General features: G+C 50.8%; 1 long non-coding RNA gene and 2 pseudogenes across 5 annotated transcripts in view; 2 read left to right on the top strand and 1 right to left on the bottom strand.

Moving 5' to 3' along the window:
- The window catches only part of MAFIP (MAFF interacting protein), a 61,485-nt pseudogene extending 39,855 nt beyond the window's left edge, over nt 1-21,630 (top strand). The window contains exons 3-8 of one of the 4 annotated variants that reach the window (NR_046439.2): nt 16,221-16,891; nt 17,600-17,764; nt 18,220-19,197; nt 19,543-19,773; nt 20,387-20,541; nt 21,327-21,630. The product of NR_046439.2 is annotated as an MAFF interacting protein, transcript variant 1 (transcript). Of the gene's footprint in view, nt 1-12,269; nt 13,563-16,220; nt 16,892-17,599; nt 17,765-18,219; nt 19,198-19,542 lie in introns of those variants that run through there. The other 3 variants (NR_046440.2, NR_046441.2, NR_046442.2) reach the window with 3 other exon arrangements.
- On the top strand, nt 3,468-9,343 carry LOC128966559 (ankyrin repeat domain-containing protein SOWAHC-like; annotated as a pseudogene).
- The window catches only part of LOC105379274 (uncharacterized), a 31,237-nt gene continuing 21,086 nt past the window's right edge, over nt 13,194-23,344 (bottom strand). Inside the window, exon 7 of the long non-coding RNA XR_007068493.1 lies at nt 13,194-18,337. This is a non-coding gene — a long non-coding RNA (uncharacterized LOC105379274). The remainder of the gene's footprint in view (nt 18,338-23,344) is intronic.

Below are 23,344 nucleotides of genomic sequence, written 5' to 3'. Positions count from 1 at the left end.
TTTTAATATTGTAAGATTCATATTCCTGTCTTCCCAAGGATTATTTCTTTATTAATAAACTTTACTAGAAGTTTTGTACATGCTTACTGCAGCAATCACAGATAAGAAAAAGGAAAAGAACTTTACTTAAAATACAAATGCTCAGAAATTACAAATTTTATATTTTGTACATATTTTTTGATAAAACAAGACCATAGTATGTTTGTATGTATAACTTAATTGATTTTTTTCTCACTAGCTATAACAAAATACATCTTCGCACATCAATATACTTCTGTATCTATTGCCACCTTCAATGGTCACATATTATTCCATCCTGTGGATGCAACTGAAGTTTATTTATGGGATCCATTCTTTGGGTTCTTTTTAAAATAAGTGAGGTGAAAAATAAAGTGCATGTATCTTTATTTCCTAAGGGTGTTTTAGTATAATGGAATTGATGGGTAAAGGGCATACATATTTTTTAATTGTAGTACTTACCACCAAATTATCTATTTGAAAAGTAATCAGCAACTTAAACTTTAAGCAGGAGTATAAAACATCCTCACAAATATTGTGGATAGAAAACTGTTTCATTCCTCTTTTAATTTAAATTCTTATACCAGAAATGCGAAGGACTTTTTCCTATGTACACAAGTAACTTGCAGATCTGGAAAAGTGTACTTTGCCCAATTTTAGAGTGTTTGATGATTTGATTTGAAAGAATTCCCTGTCAAATGAAAACGTACTTTTCATCTAATGTGTATATATAACTGATATATATGACATATTATATCTGGTATATATGTATACGTATCAGTTATATATATATATATATATATATATAACTTATGATATATAATAAACAACATAGGCCGGGCGCGGTGGCTCACACCTGTAATCCCAGCACTTTGGGAGGCGGAGGCGGGCAGATCACTTGAGGTCAGGAGTTCGAGACCAGCCTGGCCAACGTGGTGAAACCCCCTCTCTACTAAATATACAAAAATTAGCCAGGCACGCTGGCACCTGCCTGTAATCCAAGCTACTTGGGAGGCTGAGGTAGGAGAATTGCTTGAACCCGGCAGGCAGAGGTTGCAGTGAGCCAAGATTGTGCCATTGGACACCAGCCTGGGCAAAGAAGTGAGACTCCGACTCAAAAACAAAAAAAAAGAATATAATGAATTCCCTATAAAATGAAAACATACTTTTCATCAGAAAATACATACATACATATATATATATAATATAGTAAATATTTTTCAAGTAAGCTCTCTTATCTGAGAACTTTTTGCCTACTGAAATAACTCACGGTATTTTTGATAGGGGAACAAGTTCTCTCATTAGGCACCTCCTATAATGTATATAAACCATGTTTTCAACGTGTACGTTAAAAATAACAACACTGTGTATGCTTAACTTTGTGAGTTAAATCACTCAAATTCTCCAACTGCTCCAGCCATGGAATTATGAGGGATGGAAAACAGCTGAGAGTCCGTTTGGCTCCGCCGCTCTGAGGGTGCCCAGAGCCCTGAAAGGCCCCGTCCCAGGGGCAGTGGGGAAGCCAGGCCTGGGGACCCCCTCCCACCCCGGGCTGAGTCCCCGCTACCTGTGCTGCTTGTCCGGGGCATCCAGGTCTCCGCTCCTGCGCGCCAGGCAGCACTCCACCCCCGCGGCGTCGCCCTTGACAGCTGCCCTGTGGATCTTCTGCAGTTCGGAGTCCCAGATTCGGTATCTGGAACCCGTGTAGACATGTTCTATGGAGCCGTGGGCTGTCTGGCCCCTGCGGCTCCCGAAGCCGAATAACTTCATAGTGGTGACTTCTCAGACCCCCAACCTCCGGCTCTTGAGCGGGGGCAGCTCCCTGTCACCTTTTCACCACCCCCCTCCCCCGACCCCGGCCGACCTCCCTGTCACCTTTTCACCCACCCCCTCCCCCGACCCCGGCCGACCCAGCCCCAAATCCCCTATCCAACCCCAAATCCCTGATCCAAACCCAAATCTGTGATCAACCCCCAATCCGCGATCCCAAATCTGTGATCTACTCCACAGTCCATGATCCAGCCCGGTCCACCACAGCCTTCAGCAGTGACACTCGCAGCCTCCGACCTCTCAGACAGAGTGAGCCTCGCAAAGCCGTTGGGCGCGCGCATGCACCGCGGTTGCTGCCCGGCTCCCGGAAGCCGTTCCCTGGTGGCGCGCGCTGGCAGGTGGGGCTGCAGCTCTGGGCGGGCGCCGATGGGCTCGCAGGTCCTCTTGGGATCGCCCGGGCGTCCCCAGGATCGCAGGAGCGCCGCCAGCCCGGCCTGAGAAGGAGGGCCTGTCTGGCCTTGCAGCCCGCCCCGCTCCTCCTCGGAAGGGAGATAGGGTGCTGGCAAGGGCACTCCGTGGCCACCTGGGTGGCTTCGCAGATGGCCCGGCTTCACGCTGAGGCTCTGGCCCTGGAGTCTGTGTGGCTAGTGTCAGGTAGCTGGAGAGGCATGGGGGCAGAGTCAGGGGCTGCTCCTTCCCCCACCAGCCCTCACTGCTGCCAGTGCCCCATGCGCAGTTTGCAGCTGCAGATCTGGCACTGGCGTGGGACGGCGGAGCTTCCCTTGGATGGCCTCAGGGTCGCAGAGCGCACAGCCCACCTGGCCTCAAGTTCCACTCCTCTTGGGCATCTCTCTGGATCCTGGGCCCGGGAGCTGGGCACTCTGTATCCACATGGATGAAACTGAGCGGCTGCTGGCGGGGCCCGTCGCCTGATTTTGCCGCCTAGGGGTCTGGCCTCAAGATCCACGCTACTTGGGGGCGGGCCTGGTCTGGGGTGTCCAGTCACTTATTGCCGGTGCACCACGTCTAGACTGCAGCTGCGGCTCCGATGCTGGAGTCAGCTGGCAGGCCTGGTACCTGATGTCCTCAGGGTCAAGTGCATCGCCCACCCACTTGAGGGGTTGCTGTGACTTGGCCTCCTCCAAGAACTCAGGGGCCACCAGGGCTGGCTCTTCGTGGTAACCGGGATGGTATTGAGCAGCAGGTTTTCAGCCTGGTGCCACTGCTGTGTGGACTGCCTGACTTGGGCGCCCAGGCACTGGCTTCAGGGTCCGCGTGGCAAGTGTGTGTGCGGGTAGGGTGAGTGGCACGGAGGGTCAGGGGTTGCTCCGTCATCTCTGCCTGTGTGCAACTTGCAGTTTTGCAGTTTTCTGCAGCAGCTGAGGTGCTGGCGTGGGAAGGCCGAGCTCCCCTGGATGGCATCAGGTTTGCAGGCACAGAGCACAGCCCAGGCCTGAGGGTCAGCTCAGGGGCCATGGTGGTTGAGTTCTCCGTGGAAACTGGGATGGGGTGAACGGCCAGTTCCCGTCCTTTGGCCGCCTGGCCAACTACCAGACTTAGCCACTGACGCCCAGGCATCTGTCTCTGGGGTTGCCGCTACTTGGGTAGAAGTGGGGGTCGGGGTGGGGCATGGAGCGTCACCGGTTGCCAGGCCAGCACTGTCTTTGCAACATATTCAGATGGCAGCGGGCAGCTCGGGCACCAGCATGGGCTGGCGGGGCTCCCCTGGAAGGCCCTCAGATCGCTCACAGCATTGTCCCAGGGCTTCCTCAGCCTGTGCCAGGTGAGCAAGGTAGGGGGGAGCTTCCAAGGCTTCTATCCCAACTCTACCTATTTCTAGCTATTTTCTCTTGAGTTATTTTGCGTCTATCTCAGTTTTATTTGCAAAAATAATGTATGCAAAATACATCGAGTGAATGTACATCAGGCATATAGAAGATCTGGCAGAAACACGTTTTCTCATGCCCATTTCCATTCAGTATTTGAACACAGAGGCTTCCATGGTTTTGATTCTTTCCACAAAAGGATAGTTTTGTCTGTTTTCACCATTTACATAAGTGAAACTATAAATTATATAATTTTTATGTTCATTCACTAAACATGCTTGTGACATCATTTTGCTCCTATTGATTATTCATTAATTTTATTTTGTAATACTTAATTTTATGACTATACCACAGGTTTGAGGCCTTTGCTTGTTTTGTTTATAATCCACTCCACTATTGATAGACACAAAAGCAGTTTCTGATTTGAGGCTATCATGAATAAACCTTCTACGAACAAATCAGATATACACATTTTTCTGTAATAATATTTTCACTTTTCTTGGGTTTAAGTACATAAGAGTGGATTTTCTGGGTTATAAAATAAGTATATATTTGGCATTGTATGAAATAGGGAGACATTTTCCTAAGTGGTTGTGCCATCTTAAACTAAAATGAAAATGTATGAGAATCAGTTCCACTTTCTAACCAATACTTGATGCTTTCAGTTGTTTTAGTGTTATCCATTCTTATGGGATATAACTGCTGAGTAGCTGTCTGCCTTCCCAATAACACAGAAAATTGAGGGCCCAGAGGACAGTTTTATTTTCATATTTGACATCTTCTATTATTTTTTATAGAAGGGTGATTTGGGTAGTAAAATTGTCTTTCAATTTTCTAGGTTGTCTCTGAATCTTACTGGGGTTCCTTGTCTTAAACCACATTCAGAAATTTTCACGACCAACTTCTTTTTATCTTTGTCATACCAGGCCAATGAGGGACTGCATTCCTGAGACTTTTTAAGTACTTTTTGTGTGTATGATGGTCTAATAATCATAGCCTTAAAACTTTCTGGCTGGGCATGGTGGCTCATGGCTGTAATCCCAGCACTTCGAGAGGCCAAGGCGGGTGGATCACCTGAGATCAGGAGTTCGAGACCAGCCTGATCAACATGGAGAAACCCCAACTCTACTAAAAATAAAAAGTTAGCTGCGCATGGTGGCACATGCCTGTAATCCCAGCTACTTGGGAGGCAGGAGCTACTTGGGCTGAGGCAGAAGAATCGCTTGAACCCAGGAAGGGTTGTAGTTAGCCGAGATCACACCACTGCACTCCAGCCTGGGCAACAAGAGTGAAATTCCTTCTCAAAAAAAAAAAAAAGAAAGAAAAAAAGAATCTCAGACTTCTGGGAGACACTGAATTTGTGAATGTGTACAGCATGTCACAATAACTTTTTTTTTTTGAGACCAAGTCTCACTCTGCTGCCCAAGCTGGAGTGCAGTGGTCCATCTCAGCTCACTGCAAATTCTGTCTCCTGGATTCAAGCAATTCTCCTGTCTTGGCCTCCCGAGTAGCTGGGACTACAGGTGCTGCAACCATGCCTGGCTAATTTTTGTATTTTTAGTAGAGACAGAGTTTCACATATTGGCCAGGCTGGTCTCGAACTCTTCACCTCAGATGATCCACCTGCCTCAGCCAATGGGTGGACTGTTAACTCAAAATACGCACAATGAATACTGAGGAAAATGTATAGCCATCATCACCAGCAGCTGAGATGCCAGTTGAGATACCAGAAATGCCCCAGCATGTAACTCCTCTTTTAATTCACACACACACACACACACACACACACACACACACTCATGGTAACCAGTTCAGGATGGACACAGAAACAGTCACAGTCTTTTTTGGGAATACACTCCCCTGTGACACTTAGATCCTAATGCTGACTCCAATTCCCTCCTGGGACCTCCCCTCCCTTGCAGCATGCTGGGCTTTCCCTTAGAAAACCCCACGTCATTTCCTTCCATGGAACATGAATCAGCTTCACCCACAGTGTCTGCATGTCTCTGTCCATAGCAAACGTTTTTATTACCTTAAAATATAGATTTTTACCTTAACTAGCCAAGACCTAGGACCCTTTTTCCAAGCTCTTTTAGATGAAGTAATAAATGCAAATATTAGAGATGTGTATATGTGTATAAATATATGGAGAAAAGATGTTGCCTAGTTGTACAAATTAGCTTTAATAAAACTCCTGATTTAAATTATTTAATTGTGAGAAGGGCGATTCTAACTCAACACGCCAACGAAATAAAAGCCTTATCCCTCTGCTCCGCCAAAATATCCCATTTAGAGCCTGCGTGTGTGTGTACACACACGTGTGCACTCATCCCCACCTGACCATATCAAATTATTATTTAAACTAGATATTTTTACTTTGTTGCATAGTAGTAATGGTTTCTGGAATGAAAAAATAAAAAACAGGAGAATAAAACTGTTTAAATGTATCTCCGGGTGAACGCTGTGGCCACTGCAGGGACCCCGTCGATGGCGCCCAGTACCTGCGTCTCAGGAAGAGGTTCTGGTGGGGCCTCCGCCTGAGGCCGCGCCCCTGGGACCTGTCCCGCGTCCACGTGAACGCGGAGCGCAGCATTCACCATCCCCTCCCTGAAACAGCGGTCCCCGAGGTGCTCCACAGGCAGGGCCGAGCTGGGCAAGGGGGAGCCCAGCCCCTGAACGGGCCGCCCTGAGCGGCGGGGATGCAAGAAGAGCTCGCCGGCTCCACCAGCCCCTACCCCAGATGCAGGACCTCAGACCAGAGAGGACCTGGAGCCCCCGCCCCACGGTTGCCAGGAGGCGGACAGGGGCAGCTCCTGGGGGGCTACCGCCCCGAGGCCGTTCCGCCAGAACTTGAGCGACTTGGGAAGGCGCAGTGCCCTGCCCTTGAAGAGGAACCTGTGTCCTGGAGGCAGCAGCCTGGGAGCTCCTCCTCCGAGGACACCGCAGAGGCGAGTGACTCTGGCAGCGCAGCGCTGGCTTTCCCGTCCGCGGAGGAGAGCTGTGGGGCTGGGTGAGCTGGACCAGGGAGCACGGCTGGCTGCTCTCGGCCTCCTATGGGGAGTGGACAGCTTAGGGGGTTGTCCCCATGCCAGCCGGCATGCTGGCCACTCTGGGCTTCATCACAGCCTCACCTGCCTGCGCAGGCACCTAGCACTGCAGGCTGGAGCTTATGGCCATGCTGGTCAACTTCCCCAACGAGCCTCTGCTGCCTGGGAACAGCAAGGCCAGAGCTACACCGCCCTGCACTTGGCAGCCATGTACCTTGGAGATGGTGAAGCTGCTAGTGGGGACATAGGACGCCGATGTGGACATCAGGGACTACATTGGGAAAGGGCCTCCCAGCATGTGAGTCAGAGCATCACAGAAGAGATTGAGACCCTGATGGGAGTCCTGGACAAGACGATGGGGAGAGCACTGCCAGCAGCGGAGGTGGGTACTGGAAGATTTAAAAGCTGCCCCCTCCATCTCACCACCTACAAACTCTCACATGTCCTGGAAGATGGGGGGACCCTCTCCACCATCACCACTTGGCTGAAGGTGGTCCAGACGTGAAGCCAAGGATTCCAGGGCGCATAGCCTCGGGCAGGACTAATGGACTTAAAAAACACAGGCTCAGCAAAATCCACTTCACAACCCAGATGGTCCACATCACACCCTCTTTCAGGGACCCAGAGCAGCCACTGGAAGAGAAGGAGTAGGAACGCTCTCTTAAAGTCCACTTATCCTATTCCTTCACATTAAGACCAAAGTCCAATGTATTTAGGTAAAAAATAATTTCTTTTAGAAAATGCTAAGGTTTGTCTTCTGAAATTTAATAACAGAAACAAAAAAAGAACACTAGAAGTAAGGAAGTGAGACCAGAAAACACAAACTAAACTATCCTTACTAGGTTGGAATGGATGGGGTGGAGTTCCTATCAGGCTAGCATTCTGGGGAAAGCGGTATTTTTTTTTTTTTTGGCGGTCGGGGGAAGGAGTCTCGCTCTGTCGCCCAGGCTGGAATGCAGTGGCGCCATCTCCGCTCACTACAAGCTCCGCCCCTCGGGTTTACGCCATTCTCCAGCCCCAGCCTCCCAGTAGCTGGGACTACAGGCGTCCGCCACCACACACGGCTAATTTTTTTGTATTTTTAATAGAGACGGGGTTTCACCGTGTTCTCCAGGATGGTCTCGATTCCTGACCTCGTGATCCGCCCGCCTCTGCCTCCCAAAGTGCTGGGATTACAGGCGTGAGCCACTGTGCCTGGCCAGATTTCTTTTTAAGAGATTCATCATACCTTGACCTGTGCCCCATTTCCCTCCTCCACCTGTCTGACCTGGCATTCCTATTTCGGGAGACCAGAAGTGGGGGGAAGAGAAGGGATGACTGTTTCTTTGTTTTCACCATTCCTGCATGCCATGCAAAGGAAGGAATATTGCGCTTTTAAATATTAGTTTTATTAAGTAAGTGGTTACTCTTTCAAGGACAAAAAAAAATGCAAATTGTTACAAAACTGGTAGTATTTGTAAGTGCAAGCACTACATGCTGCCTTGTTCTTTTACCAATTGCATTTGCATTTTAAGGTACTACTGGTACAGCCATGGTGGAGAACAGTTTGGAGGTTCCTCTAAACACTGAAAATAGAGGTGCCACATGATCCAGCAATCCCACTGTTGGATATATACCCCAGAAATAAGAAATGAGTATATCGAAGAAATTATCTGCACTCCCATGTTGGTTGCACCACTGTTGACAATAGCTAAGATTTGGAAGCAACCTAAGTGTCCATCAACAGATTAATGTATTAAAGAAAATGTGGTAGATACACACAGTGGAGTATTATTCAGCCCTAAAAAATAATGAGATTCAGTCATTTGCAACAACATGGAAGGAACTGGATATCATTATGTTAAGGGAAATAAGCCAAGCACGGAAAGGCAGACATTGCATGTTCTCACTTATTTGTGGGATCTAAAAATCAAAACAATTGAACTCAAGGACATAGTAAGTACTAGGGGGCTGATGGGGGGAGACAGGGCACGGGTAATGGGTACAAAAATAGGCAGAAGGAATGAATAAGACATACTATTTGATAGCACAACAGGGGGACTCTAGTCAATAATTGTACATTTAAAAATAACTAAAAGAATCTAATTGGATTGTAACACAAAGGAAACATGCTTAAAGGGATGGATACCCACTCTCCATGATGTGATTAGTTCATGCTGCATGCCTGTATCAAAACATCTCATGCACCCCGTAAATATATATGCTTATTATATACTCACAAAAATGTTTGAAAATAAAAATAAAGGAACTACTGAAGGTCAGGTCAGAGTGGAAATGTAAAAATACTAATTAGAGAATAATGTGAATACAACAGGAATCCTGTTGGTATTCTATTTATATTGTAAGCAGCAGTTCAATTGTTTTGTAAAAGTAATTTCAATTTTAATCACTGAACTAAAGAAATGGGCAACGCTGACTTCCGTAATATAGGTTCTACCTAACCATCTCTAACACTGCTGTCAAGGAGGACCAGTGTTAAGGTACATTACTAACAACCACACAAATTTTTAAAAGAAAAGAACACTCTTAGCAGCCTACGGTACTTTGAAATGAAATATTGCCTCTCATTCTCACTTGTGTTGCCATTCCAAAAGTTTGAATTTGCTGAGGTTTATATTCTGGGTATTATATAACCATTGGTTCTATTTGGCATAACCCTATTAAATGGTGCTCAGAGCTGAATTACCTACAGAAACTTTCTGGTTTAATTAGCATAAATTGGTATAAATATTAGTGAGCCCATACTTCTGTGATATAATTAAACCAACTTAATGATTCTCACATAAGGTGTCAATTTATTTTACTAATGCATTCATAATCTATGCTTTGTAGCAACATTTTTCAAATGTTTAAAATGCTAAATCTTCTCAATTTTCCAATCTTTTCTTGAATCTATTAGATACCTATAGTGTAGTTACTGAATAGCTGGGAAACAAATACACCTAGTTAGAAATGGCACTGCTTTATAAAAGGCACTAGAGAAAAGACGAGACTATTCCTATATTTAAATGCTGCTGGCAAGTGAATTCCTTTGTATATAAATGAAAGATACCATTCATTAAAATGAAAGACTTGTTTTAAGTGTGATTCTTACATTTCATTCATTTATGATAGAGTAAATGGCTTTATAATTACTTTAAAATTTAACTCACTAGTACATTAAATCTGTTCATTGCAAGATTAGAATCAACTGTGAGGGGAACTAATTTAAACAAGCCCTTCCTTAGTCTTATTGAGTCTCATATTTGCTGAAAGTACCTACAGCTTGCAGGATAAGGGAGTTCACGGACCATAGGGTGAGTGAACCCATGCACAAATTGCAAACTGCCCAGAGCTACTACATTTAGGATTTTTAGACCTTTAATTTTCCATGTCATAGAAATTTGTTACAGGTTCATCACATCTTTGTCTAAATGGCAACTGAATTTCTTTAAAGATAGGTTAAAAAAAGGCATAAAACTATGAATTATTATCCATTTGTGTGCCTCTATTTTTGCTTTAGAATCATGGAAATGGACCCTGTGAATTTGGGAAACACTGTTATGTATACACATGGGTGAAAAACAATCTAACATTGTGTAAATTAAAATACTTTTTTTGAAGTTGAAAAACATCCATTTGTTCTAAATCTATATATATTATGTGTATCTAGTACAGAATAAGGTGTAACTTCTCATTGAGTAATCTTAGGTTTTACAGATATGTAAAGCTGAAGCAACTCTAAAGAGTAGACACTTCAGAACAGGAAGGTTCTGGTCAATGTTGAGAGTAGACACTTTCACTGAAGGTTCTGGTGAAATGTGGGTAACTAATTGCTTGTAATCTATAATTTGCTGTATACTTAACTATTAAGTTAAAATGTCATTTACCATGCTTTTTACACTAAAAGCTTTAACTTTTCTGAGAAAATAATATTTTAAATGTTCAATTATTACTTCTGAGGAAAGCTACTTCTAGCATTCTTTGTCATGATGTGCTTGTGTGCAGTAAGCAGAGCATTTTCAGCCACTTACCTCTACAATGTTCCTGTTTTTCAATTTCTGATTTAGATTATAAAAGGCAAATGATTAATTTAATTTGATACTCAGAGTTGTGTTTACTTTTAATGGACAAATATATGTCAGATACTTTGATGTTTATTGATATGACACCGTGTGGTTAAACAACGCAAGTATGTCCATGTGTTTCTTATAGGGTACACTTGAAACTAGTGGTGTTTATGCAGTTCACTTATGTAACTTGAAAATCTGGTACTATTGCATTCAGGACTGAAATCTTGGAGTTTAGGTGTCTTGTCTCTCATTTTGAAAATAAGTGAAAGTTGAGAATGTAAAATCCATAAAGTTCATTTTTTTAACTAGGAAAAAAACACAAATTAGCGACAGACACCAAATTACAAATCCAAAAAGCTCAGAGAACACCAAGCAGGATGAATATTTTAAAAATATACCTAGGAATATCATATTCAAACCGTAGAAAACCTGTAACAAAGATAAAATATTAAAATAAGGCAGAGGAAGAAACACATTGTCTACAGAGAAACAGAAATAAGAATTACATTGGACTTCTGTTTAGAATCCATGCAAGTAAGAAGTGTTGAAAAAATTAGAATACAGTGGGTATTTTTTATCCAAGTATTCATTATTTAAAACTGCAAAGTGAAAATAATTGTAACAAGAACATATTCACTAGCAATCTGAGCACTCATGATATTAGTGTCTGTTCTGGAGAGAATTTTGTCCCCCCAGAATTCCTAACCTAAAGCCCTATCTCCCAGTGTGACTGTATTTGGAGAAGGAGCTTTTAAGAAGGTAAAGGTTAAATAGGGGCAAAAGGGTAAGGCCCTAATCTGTTAGGACTGGGGTCATCATCCAAAAAGGAAGAGACACCAGAGATACATATCTCTCTCTTCTCTCTCTCTCTGCCTCCCTCCTTCTCTCTCTCTCCCTCTCTCTCTCCCTCTCCCCACATACATTTGTTAAATTGAGATTTTTTGTTAGAACATATATAGTGGCATTTTAATATAGTGTTACTCTACTTAAAACATACACACACACACACACACACACACACACACATACAATTTTGATAAATTCTTTTTTGAGGATAAGGCCGGGCATGGTGGCTCACACCTGTAATCCCAGCACTTGGCGGGATTATCATCTGAGGTGGGTGGATCATCTGAGGTCAGGGGTTCAAGACCAGCCTGGCCAACATGGTGAAACCCGTCTCTATTAAAAATGCAAAAAATTAGCTGGGCGTGGTGGCGGGCACCTATAATTCCATTTACTCAGAATGCTGAAGCCGGAGAGTCCCTTGAACCCAGGAGGCGGAGGTTGTGGTGAGCCGAGATTGCACCATTGCACTCCAGCCTGGGCAGCAAGAGCAAACTCCGTCTCAAGAAAAATACAATAAAATAAAAATAAAAAAACACAAAACTGGGATGTGTCCCTGTCTTTTAGGCAGATATACTTTACCATTACTAAAATTGAGCTTCAGAAACATTAAGCATGCTACACAAACTTAGCTGGAAATGAATACTGAAATGGAAGTTTGAATCCAAGATGATTTCTTTTGAATCCCATGCTAATGCCGTTAACTCCTATAGACCCTTCTCAGGTGCAGCCAGAGAGACACTAGCCCACTGATGGATGGACAGACGTGGGCAGGGTCCGTGTCACTAAACCACCCACCACTGCCACAGCTGCCTACAACAGACACATCAGATGACACTCCGGGCAAATAAATGATTTTCACTGAGGACTTACTGGTTTTAATAATAGGTCCTGGTGTAGAGAAGTCCCTCAACCTATTGTGCAATGAGTTTTGAGAAGCGGGTAAGCTGTATGTTTTGTGGTTCTGTTTCATAAATGCATCTACAGGAAGACCAATATTGACTGAATGAAGCTTTCATTTAAAGAGCTAAAATATGCTTTGTGTTTTTATATGTGGATACTACTTTAAACCTAATGACTATTCATTGTATCATAGCTTGTGATGTATTCTGCTCACGGCTTTTAAGGTAAATTGTGCCATGATCCACTGCCATTCTAATTGCTTTAACAAGTCATTACCACACTACTGTTACATCTTAATTATGCATACAGACAGGTAGACTTATTTTACATATGTGAACTAACTAGTTGTCAAAGCAAATGCAGATTGTATTCTACAAGTAAAGTCTTTTTCTCTCTGAAATTTCTAGGGATGTTCTTTAAGTGAAATTCATATTCAAACTGAAGATTTTAGTTACAAGAACTGAGTGCAGATTAAAGTCTTTTTGTGATTCAAACATAGTCAAGAGTACAACTGTGATATTTCATGGAAGTTATGCAATAAAATGTCTCTAACCTGCGAACAAATCTATCAAGCAGACGGCACAGTACTGAATTTGAAACCAGAAATACTGGGTTTTTATATAAATGCTTCATAGATTTGTTTTATGATAAAGGGCACATAACTCTCCTAAACCTCACACCACCTCTTGAATAGGTATAATAAGTCCACATCAATGCTGATGCCTTAGCTATTATTAAACTCTTACAGTATGATGTAAAGTGAAAGTACAATGTAAGATCATTCCTAGGCCAACTTTGACCAGTTTTATACAGAAACATGTGCCAACTTTTCTGTTTGCAAGGATAATATCAAAGCAAACACCAGAAAGTTATATCTTTGATGCATTTTTTTCAAAATCATACACATAATACACAAACCAAAGACAAATGATGAATATTATGTCAGAAAATATAAAGTCTTCCCCTTTCTTCTTTTGCCAAGAAAGTCCAATATTTTCACCATTTTTATGCACACAATCAACTTTATTTAAGCTGGAAGTTAATGTCTCATTGTTTTCATTGTTCTAAATAAACACCTTTTCCCTTGAGTATTGTTCTAAAAATTTTGAAGTTGTGTGAAAAATTTTGTTCTGATATCTCACATTTGTGCTAATGATATGTGAAAAGGAATACAGATGGTATTTAATTATGAACAGGAAAAGATGTTAAATATCATTAGTCATTAGAAATTTGCAAATTAAGACCACAATGACTAACACATATATATCAGAATAGCTAAAATAAAAATAAAACATCAAACGCTGGGGAGCATGAGTAAAAACTGGAGCTTTCACACATGACTGGTGGGAATGTAAAATCGTACAGCTATGCCAAAAAGGAGTATAGTAGTTTCTTAAGAAACTAAAGGAACCTGAATTCCCAGGCCTGCAGTCTGGGCCAAGGTCACTGGCCCTGGATCAATCAGGATGGGGTTCAGGGGCCTTCCTGGGGCCATCCAGTGTCCAAGGTGCCCTTTGGTGGCCTCGTCTGCCCCTCAGCCCCTGAGCACGTCCCTCTGTCCCTCCAATCCTCCCTGTCATGGAACATCTGTCACAGAGCCATGCCCTACCTCCTGCTTTCTGGAGATGCCAACTGCCTGGGGTGCTCTTAGCCCTGCCCTCCCTATCTCTGGGTCCTGACCAAGGTGCTCTAATGGACACCCCCTGACCCAGGTCTCAGAGAGCTGCCAGCACCCTGGGTCCCTGAAGCTGAGATCCAGCAAGACACATGTGGCCTGAGAGTCCCACTCTCTGGCTGGCAGAACCCAGAGGTGGGAGCACACTGGAGTGTCCTTCAGGGTGTCTTCACCCCATGAGAGGGCTGGGGGCTTTGGGAGTTTGCAGCTGGCAGGAGTCAGGGCCCAGTCCCCTAACTCTGATGCGTCCTTGGTCAAATCCTGTGCCTCAGCCTGCAGGGCCTATTGTGGTCACCAGGTGAATGTGTTCCCTTAGTCTGGGAGCCCCAAGTAGGCAGCACCCCCTGCCAACGACTTCAGGGCACCTGGAAGTGGTGGCTGAGAGGTCTCCCACTTCGCAGAGCTGGGCTCTGGCCCAGAGGCCTTCCCCTTGGCTTAGGTGGTCTCTCGGGCTCCTGGGGCTGCAGATCAGGGACAGAAACAGGGAGCTCTGCTCTGCTATGCCTACAGAGAGGTGCCCAGTGAATGCAGGTTCCAGACAAAAGGTGGAGCCTGGCATCCTGCCCTGCATGGGCTCCAGCCTGATGCCATCTGGGGAAACTGAGTCATGGCGAGGCTCAAGGATGTTTCTCAGACCACACCAGTCCCTGAAGGTCCGCTGACCTCCCAATCTTGACGGACAGTGAGAAGAGGTTCCCAGGCCACCTGCAATAGGTTCTGGCTCGGCCTGGGTTGGGGTAAGTCTACTGGCTGCTGTCCTCAAAGCCCCATCAGGAGGCTGTGTCAGGCCAGGCGCACCGTGGTGACAGCTGCATGGACTGAGGGTTCTGGCCACGGGAGAGGTCAGGTCCGGGGGAGGTCAGGTCCAGGAGGAGGGCACTGGCCGGCACATGGTTGTGCTGGTGAGACTTGGGCGGGGTGGTAGAAATGGCCCAGGAGGAGCCCCGGCTCCTGTGGCTGGAGTGAGGGTGTGGGCTGTGGTGAGAGAGGAGGTGAAGGTGGAAGGAACAGGGGCCCAGGGGCCTGTGCTGTAGGAAGGGCATGGACTTCCTAGCGAGGACTTTCTGGTGCGGGATTCTCAGGGAAGAGGAGGCCGGAGGGGCTGGGGTCCCCAGGACTGCATGCGCCAGGCAGGCGGAGGGGAGGCCGAGCCAGGAGCCGCAGGCTTCTCACCGCCAGACCAACGCCACCCTCCGCTGGCTGCGTGGGGAATCGCGCCTAGGCTGGGGCTCCCCTGGCCCCAGGTTTGGGGGACTCCGATGTGTCCTGGGGCGCTTCCTGCCCATCCAGCCTCTGCCAGGCAGCATGGCCCTGGGTGGCTTTCAGGGCAGCCTCGGCAGCACAGGACCTGCCTCCGCCCTGTGGGGCAGAGTTGGGCATCTGACTCTGGACACTTACCCAGAGGCTGAATTCAACTCCCCAGGGAAAAGCACACTCAGACTCCCTCCCTCCCCACTGTGCCCAGCCTGAGAGGACCCTGGCTGGGACTTGGGAGGAGAAGGCCAGAGGCCAGGGCCTGGCTCTCAGGCACTAGGTCCAGGAGAAAATGGAGCGGAGTCCCTGCAGGAACTGCCTCAGACTGCCCCTGAGGGGGCCTGGCCTGGGACCCTCCCTGTGCTACCAGGCTGCTGTTGGGGCCAGGAGGGCAGGGAGAGCAGCCACCTGTACGGCATCAAGTAACACTATCACTCAGCACACCCAACATCCACACAACAGCCACAGCCCTCTGCCCTGAGGGGGCAGGTGGGCAGAGCCTCCTCTGTCTTGTTCACCCTGAGCGCAGAGCTCCGCACAGGACAGGATCAGAGAGCAAACTAGGAACAAATGGATGAATCAACGAAGGGGCCAGGGCAGTAGGTCCCCACCCACACCCTGAACCCTAAGAGTGGGACACAGAGGCTGGAGACGGGCTGGCCCTGGGATCCTCTAAGTGACAGGAACCCTTGGCCACTGTTGATTGCCCCGAGGTGGGGACAGGGATGGTGGGGCTGGGGCTGCCTGGCCCTTTAAGAGGGCAATTCTGCCCACCGCCCTGAATGCCCCCTCCCCTAGCCACTGGAGAAGAGATCCCGTTTCTTGGCAACAGGAAGCTCTTGGTTTACTGTGTCACCCAAGCGACTGGGAGCCAGGTCCTGCTCTGGGACTGAGCCGTTGGAGCCGACCGATGACTGCACTGGGCTGACCGCAACAAGCTGACCACACACACTCCTCACTCCCCTGGCCCTGGTGGGCGGCAGACACCATGGTGCAGACGGATGTGCTCCTACCAGAGCTGGCCCCACAGACAGTGCCACCCTACGAGCTGCCCTGCAAAGAGTATGACGTGGCCAGAAACACGGGCGCCTACACGTCCTCCGGCCTGGCCACCGCTGGCTGGAGGTGTGGTTCCAGAACTGCTATGCTCGCTACCGCCAGGCCTTCGCCAACTGCAACCAGTCAGAGCGGGAGCTGCAGGGGCACGAGAGCCAGCAGCTGGCCGCAGAGACCCAGGCACTGGCACAGCCGACACAGCAAGACTCCACGTGCAGGGTGGGCGAGCGACTGCAGGACACGAACAGCTGGAAGTCGGAGCTGCAGCGTGAGGTGGAGGCACTGGCTGCGGAGACCGACCTGCTGCTGGCCCAGAAGCAACGGCTGGAGCGCGCCCTGGATGCCATGGAGGTGCCCTTCTCCATCACCACTGACAACATGCAGTGCAGCCAGCGCCACCAGCACACCAACCTTTTGCGTGACCATGTGGAGACAGAGCTGCTGAAGGTGCCAGCAGCCTTGGGTGGCCAGGACTTGTGGGCACAGAGAGGAGGAGCCCCCGGCAGTTCATGTGGACAAGCCACGTGGCTGCTGCAAGCACACGGGAGACCAGCCCTCTGTGCGTGAGACCCCTGAGTCCCGAAATCTGACCCCTTAGTGACAGGAGGCAGTTTTGCCCCAGAAGGCCCCTGACTTCCAAGCAGCTGTTTCTCCTCTCCTCCTCCAATACCTTTGAGTCCTGGCACAGTCATCCTGACCCTGGGCTCCCCAGAGACCCTCCCTGGTTGGGACAGTTGCTCCCGAGGTGGAAACCGAGGTCTGGGCCAGCACTGCGGGTGTGGACAGGTAGGGTGGGATAGGCTGGGAGCCACTGCTCCCATTCATCCTATACAGAGCCAGGGACACGAAGATCTGCACCCACAGGTCCCCTTCTCCATGTCACCTGTAACTTCCCAATCCAGCCCAGCTTGTCTATGGGGCAACCCCATAGGGTGAGGAAGTAACTCAGTCCTGGCCCTGATGCTGGCTCTGGAGAATTCCCTGAGCTCTCAGAGCCTGGGGCCTCCATGAGAACCACTACAGGCCTGTAGACATTTGTGAAAGATGTGGGGTGGAGGCAGCTGGTCTCCTGCCATACCCCCAAACTCAGGCAAGAACCCTTGAGTCCCTCCCTCCCCTCATGCCTTCCCTCCTCCCTCCCTTCCCCTTCTGCAGGCCTATCCCCCTGCACCCTCTCAGTGCCTCAAGAACTGCTGCAGCTCCCGCAAACCCTCTGCCTGCAACAAGGGTGCCTGCGAAGTGATGGAGACACTGACAGTGCAGGAAGAGGAAAACCCAGGGACAGAGGGGTGCAGGACTCGGGCTCTGGCACACAAGGAGGTAGCTGGTGGTCCAGGCAAAGACCCCAATCACAGGGAAAAAAGTCTTGTTCCTACACACAGAAAATTAAACTGGCCAGGCAGTAAGAAGAAACACAGGGTCTTCCTCCTGCTCTTGGTGTGAGGATGGTCTTTCCCAACACAGAGCCCTGAGGGGCAGCCTGGGCGGGCATCTGGGCCCCCAGAGTTTGGGTCCTCAGGAGCTGTCCAGAGGCCAGGGACAGGCCAACGTTCCTGGGTGCACTGAGTGAGCAGCAGTGATGACTCTTGAGGCCTGGGGCGTGGGAACTGCCACTGAGTGACCTTCCCAGCAGCCCATAGAAGGCCCTGGAGGAAAACACCCCACTTACAACGCACCAAGGAGAATGCCCAAAAGCCCAGGATAAACCCAGTGAGAGAGCAGAACTTGCACAGTCAGAGCTCAGGCCCGGCATTCAACTATTTCTGGTTGCTCAGGTGTTGACCAAGGCCTGCAGCAGCTGGGCCTCCTGGGATCCTCACCAAGGACCGGCTCTGGTGCTCAGGGCGTCTCCTCCCTCAGGAAGCTGAGCTCATCCGGAACATTCAGGAGCTGCTGAAGAGAGCCATCATGCAAGCAGTGAGCCAGATCTGGTGGGTCGAGGGCTGCCCAAGGGATGACTCCTGACCCCACCCACGGCTGGTCCTGGGGCAAGGCATTGAACGACAGGACCCTGAAGCTCAGAGCCGGCAGGGGCTGTCCCAGGTCACAGTGGGAGCACAGGGCTGGGTGGGGGAGGTTCCGGACCAGCCTGAGTTTGAGTGGCCAAAGCCCAGTGCCACAACTGCTCTGCAGCCTCCCAGCATGGGCGGCAGCTCTTGGTCACTGCTGAGCACGAGGACAGCCGGCCCAGAGCTCCCTCCTGAAGCGGGCATGAAGTCCTAGCCTGCAGCATGGAGGGTCCCCAGCGGGGCCCTCCCTGGCCACACACCAAGGCCCTGCCCCACCCCGCCCCAGACTGAACTGAGAGCACATGGAGATCTGCGAGATGGACTGGTCGGACAAGGTGGAGGCCTACAACCTCGACAAGACTTGCGGGCGCCACCACAGCCAGAGCACCGAGGTGCAGGCTCATCCGGCACTCCACCACCTTCCAAGAGAGGGGGGCCCCAGCTCTGCCCCGTGCTTGCCCTGGCTGTGGTCTCGCCTCCCTCTGCCTGGGGGCCCCAGCGGCACTGCTTCCCCCAGCCTGGCCCAGAGGCCCTCGCCCCCGAGGGCACTTGGGCAACTGTCTGCCCCTGGCATGAGAAAGCATGCAAGACCTCCTCAAGTGCCCAGCGCGTGCACAGCCTGGTTGCCCGTAGACAGGACAGGGTGGGGTGCGGTCAGCCCCAGGCACCGGCAGGATTGCATTTCCACCCAAGGCCAGCAGAGGGAGCACGAACACCGCCCACTTGAGCATAGCAAACTCCTGGGTGCGAGAAGCGGACGCGGGCGCTGGGTACTAGGGAAGGGGGGCTGCGGGGGACAGAGGTGCTGCAGAGGGGGCCTTGGGGGCAGCGGTGCTGGGAACGGGGTCGCGGGGGCAGGAGGGGACTAAGTGCCCGGGGTGGGTAGGGTGTGGGTGGACTCAGGGGAGTTGTGGGCGGGGGGCACTCGGAGGCAGGGAGCTTGGGGGACTGGGCTTTGTGAGTCTGCACGGGGTGCATTGGAGTCCATGCAGTTCCTCCAGGAGCATGGGGTGCAGACAGGGAATGGGGGCGCGGCAGGGCCCCCAGCCACTGGCATAGCCTCCCTGACCCTCTCCTGGCTGTCCCCAGCCCCGCAGCGCCTCCACCCCAGAGACCCGGACCAAGTTCACACAGGACAATCTGTGCCACGCCCAGCGCGAGCGCCTGGACTCGGCCAACCTGTGGGTGCTGGTGGACTGCATCCTTCGCGACACCTCCGAGGACCTGGGACTCCAGTGTGACGCCGTGAACCTGGCCTTCGGGCGCCGCTGTGAGGAACTGGAGGACGCGCGGCACAAGCTGCAGCACCACCTGCACAAGGTGGGGCACCCTGAACCCCGAAGACGGCTCCGGCGCCTGCCCACCACTCTGCCCCCTCTCATCACCTGGCCTGGGCCCTCAACACCTTTCTCCTCTGTCCCACTTATCCCGAGGGACCCCAGAAGCAAGTGTCACCTCTCCGTAAACCTATGTAAAACCAGGTGACACTGGGTATGATCGCAGTGTGTTGCAACCCCCATGACTGAGAAGGAGGAGCTGTGGGGAGGATGGAGGCAGGAGCTGGTCTGGGGAGCATTGACTGCCTGGGAGGTCCCCAAGAGTCCTGGCCTGGCAGGCAGGGCTCTGACTCTAGGGCCTCAGCATGGCCTTTACCACCTCTGAGTCCCCAGTCCTTGAGCAGGATTTGGGTCCTGGTGACCACCAAGGATGGGGGTTCTTGGACCAGAGCTAAGAGACAACAGGCTGCCTGACTCTCCAGAGCCCGCTGGGGGCCCCGTGCACATTGTTCCCCTCACCCACGCCTCCCCAGGGCCACTGGTCAGGACCACCCTCTGGACACAGCCCCAGGAGCTGGGTAGGACCAGACTGGTCTCTACATTCCATATGCCCGGGCATGGGGGCACAGGCCCAAGGGGCACTGTCCTGTCTGCAGATGCTGCGGGAAATCACAGATCAGGAACACAACGTGGTGGCACTGAAGGAGGCCATCAAGGACAAGGAGGAACCTCTGCACATAGCCCAGACCCGGCTGTAGCTGCTCTCACACCGGCCCAACATGCAGCTGTGCCGCGATGCAGCCCAGTTCAGGTACTGCCTGGGCCTCTGAGGCAGTCCCAGGTGCCCCCGTCCACCTCCTCGCTGCGACCCTCTCCAATAAACACTCCAATCTCCACACACACATCCCCCACAGGTGCTGAGAGGGGAGGGAGACTCTGCGGCCACACACAACATGCAAGCACGCCTTAAACACACAGATATAGACATGACACTGGGCAGGTCATGGGTCGGGGGCCTCCCCGTGCCAGGGACCTGTGCCCACGTGGTCTCACCCCACCCTGTGCTACCTCATCTTCCCGGGAGGAAGCTCCTTCAGACAAGGTGAGCTCCTGGAGGCCACGGGGCCAGAGAGGCCAGAGAGGGCCATTCCCTGCTGCCCTGAGGGTGCTGTCCCCACCTCTGGTGGAAAGTATGACCTACGCCTGGGCTACAGGCATAGATGGGCCGTCCTTTTGTTTCCCTTGTTAACGGATGCCTGGTGGCCCCTTCTGAGCCTAAGTACCTTTCTTCCTTCCCTGCCCCTCAGTTCCTTCAAGGAACTGGGTGCCTCCTTCCGTCAAATATCAGGAATGGAAAGAACTGAGCCTGGTCGGCTGAGGCCAGTCCTGTCCTGTCAGGGTCGAGATTGCACGCGGGTCACTCATTCCCACTCAGGTCCGCGCTCCCTGGGAGGACCCTCGTAATTTATGCTCTGCCCTAGAGCCGCTTTCCTGGTAGGATCCTTTCATGGCGTCTTCCCAGGACCTCCTGCCAGCTCCCATTGGGAGTTTTGGGTCCCCTCCACCCCAGTAGGTGCATACTTCTGCCCTCCCCAGCCCCAGCTCACACCCCCCAACACCCCCAAGCTGGTGAGTGAGGTGGAGGAGCTGTACAAGTCCATCACAGCGCTGCGGGAGAAGCTTCTACAAGCGGAGCAGTCCCTGCGCAACCTCAAGGACATCCACATGAGCCTGGAGAAGGACGTCACCGCCATGACCAACAGTGTCTTCATCGACCGCCAGAAGTGCATGGCCCATCGTACTTGCTACCCCACCATTCTGCAGCTGGCTGGCTACCAGTGAGCAGCGGCACGGTGCTTCCCCCCAATCCCCCAAATAAACAGTGCGTTAGCTTTCTGCACAGTGTGTGTGTGTGCCCGGTGGGACCTCCAGTTGCTGTCCATCTGAACTGGCCTTTGGGTCCCCTGTGAGGCTGGCTCTGCCTATGGACTCGTCATCCCAACAGTTGGAGATGAGGGGTCAGAGCTGAGGGGGAGGAATCCCTGTGCCTCAGAGGACAGGACATGCCCAGGTGGGGACTGGGCCTTCACAGCACAGCTCAAGTGTGGGTGCAGACCGTGTGTCCAGCTCAGAGCCAGGCCATCCAGTTCCCCCTGCCCACTTCCCCACCAGTGCTGGCTCCTCCATTCCCTCACCAGAGTCTTAGGGACTTGGGACATCTTTGGGGCCTCTGCATCTCCCCAACTCCTCCCCCTGCACCTCCAGGCCCCCAGCCTCAGCTCACATACCCCTGTGACAGTGCGCTTATTCTGCTAGAAGCTGGTCTGGCTGCTGGGTGCACCTGCTGTGGCGATCCTCCAGGCAGGCCCCACGCAGAAGCACCCACTTCAGCATCCCCTCTCCGTCCCCAATGACAGTGTGTACCTGAGCTCAGCCCAGCCCAGCTCTCAGTGCCCAGGACCCCTGAGGCTCAGATGGGCAGATCGGCAGGGGTACATGGAGTTCCCTCCGGGGTGTGGGCCCAGTGTGGGGAGAGGGGCCTGAGAACAGCTCAGGGTGGGCATCCACCTGGAGAGCATGTGGGTGGGGGTCCCATCTGCAAGATCCAGACCCACAGGGCTCTTGTCTCAGCCTGAAGGGGACCGGGAGGTAACAGCCCCTTCCCCCCAATCAACCACAAGGACACCCAGCTGGGCAACTCTGTGAGCTGGGTGGGGTCAGCCAGGTGGAAGTTGCTGCTAGGGGTTGCTGGGAGGAGAGGCATGGGCTGCCTTTCACGTGGGACTAACTCAGACCTCTCTCCCCGACCTGCTAGGACCCCTCCAGAGGCCACTGCTGAAGATGAAAAACACTACTGCCATTCACTGGGGGAGGTGATAATGTTGACTGCAGGCAGTTGGCTCAGGGAGGAGCCTTCTTGGGAATCCTACTCAGCCTGGATGGGGAGAAATCTGGGAGAGGCTGTGTGTGAGCAGGAAGTGCAGGGAAGACTTCCTGGAGGAGGGAGCCTGGCTTCCACTGCACAGGCCAAGGCACAGGGGCTGGGACCAGGGAAGGAGGTGTCTGGGCTAGGCCTCTCGCTTTATCTTGAGCTCTGGTTCACTGTGATAGGCTCATTGCTAACCAGGCCCAGCCCTCCCCAGCTCCAAACCCGACTGCCAGGCAGTCAGGATTCTTCTGCTCACCCAGCCACTCTCAGAGATGCAGACCCAGACCCTGGAGGGTGGGCCTGAAAGCTTCCAGGACCTTCTCTCCAGTGCAGATTCAGGGGGAACTGTCACTTCTCATCACCACGGAAGCCACACTACTTGTCACAAGCCACCAGCCACTACAGTGACACCCAGGCCCACTCTTATTCTTTGGGGTGCCATTTAAATTCACCCTGGATGCTGTTACCATGGGGCTTTGACAGCCAGGAGCAGAGGCAGTGGGACACAGCAGCCAAGCCTCACCTGGGGGCTGCAGACAGTTGGTGTCCTGTCCGTGTAGCTCCTCAAAGCTGCTCCAGGACACCAGGCAGGGGCTGAGGCAATGACCTGCCCAGGGAACGCCAAAGAACCATCTCCCTGCAATCACCCCCAGCACAGGGGAAACCTGCAGTGAGGCAGATGGTG

This window comes from Homo sapiens, assembly GCF_000001405.40.
Source record: "Homo sapiens chromosome 14 unlocalized genomic scaffold, GRCh38.p14 Primary Assembly HSCHR14_CTG4_UNLOCALIZED".
In the NCBI taxonomy this organism is placed as follows: Eukaryota; Metazoa; Chordata; class Mammalia; order Primates; family Hominidae; genus Homo; species Homo sapiens.
Note: the sequence above shows the minus strand (reverse complement) of the source record. Positions and strands in the feature narration are given on the sequence as shown.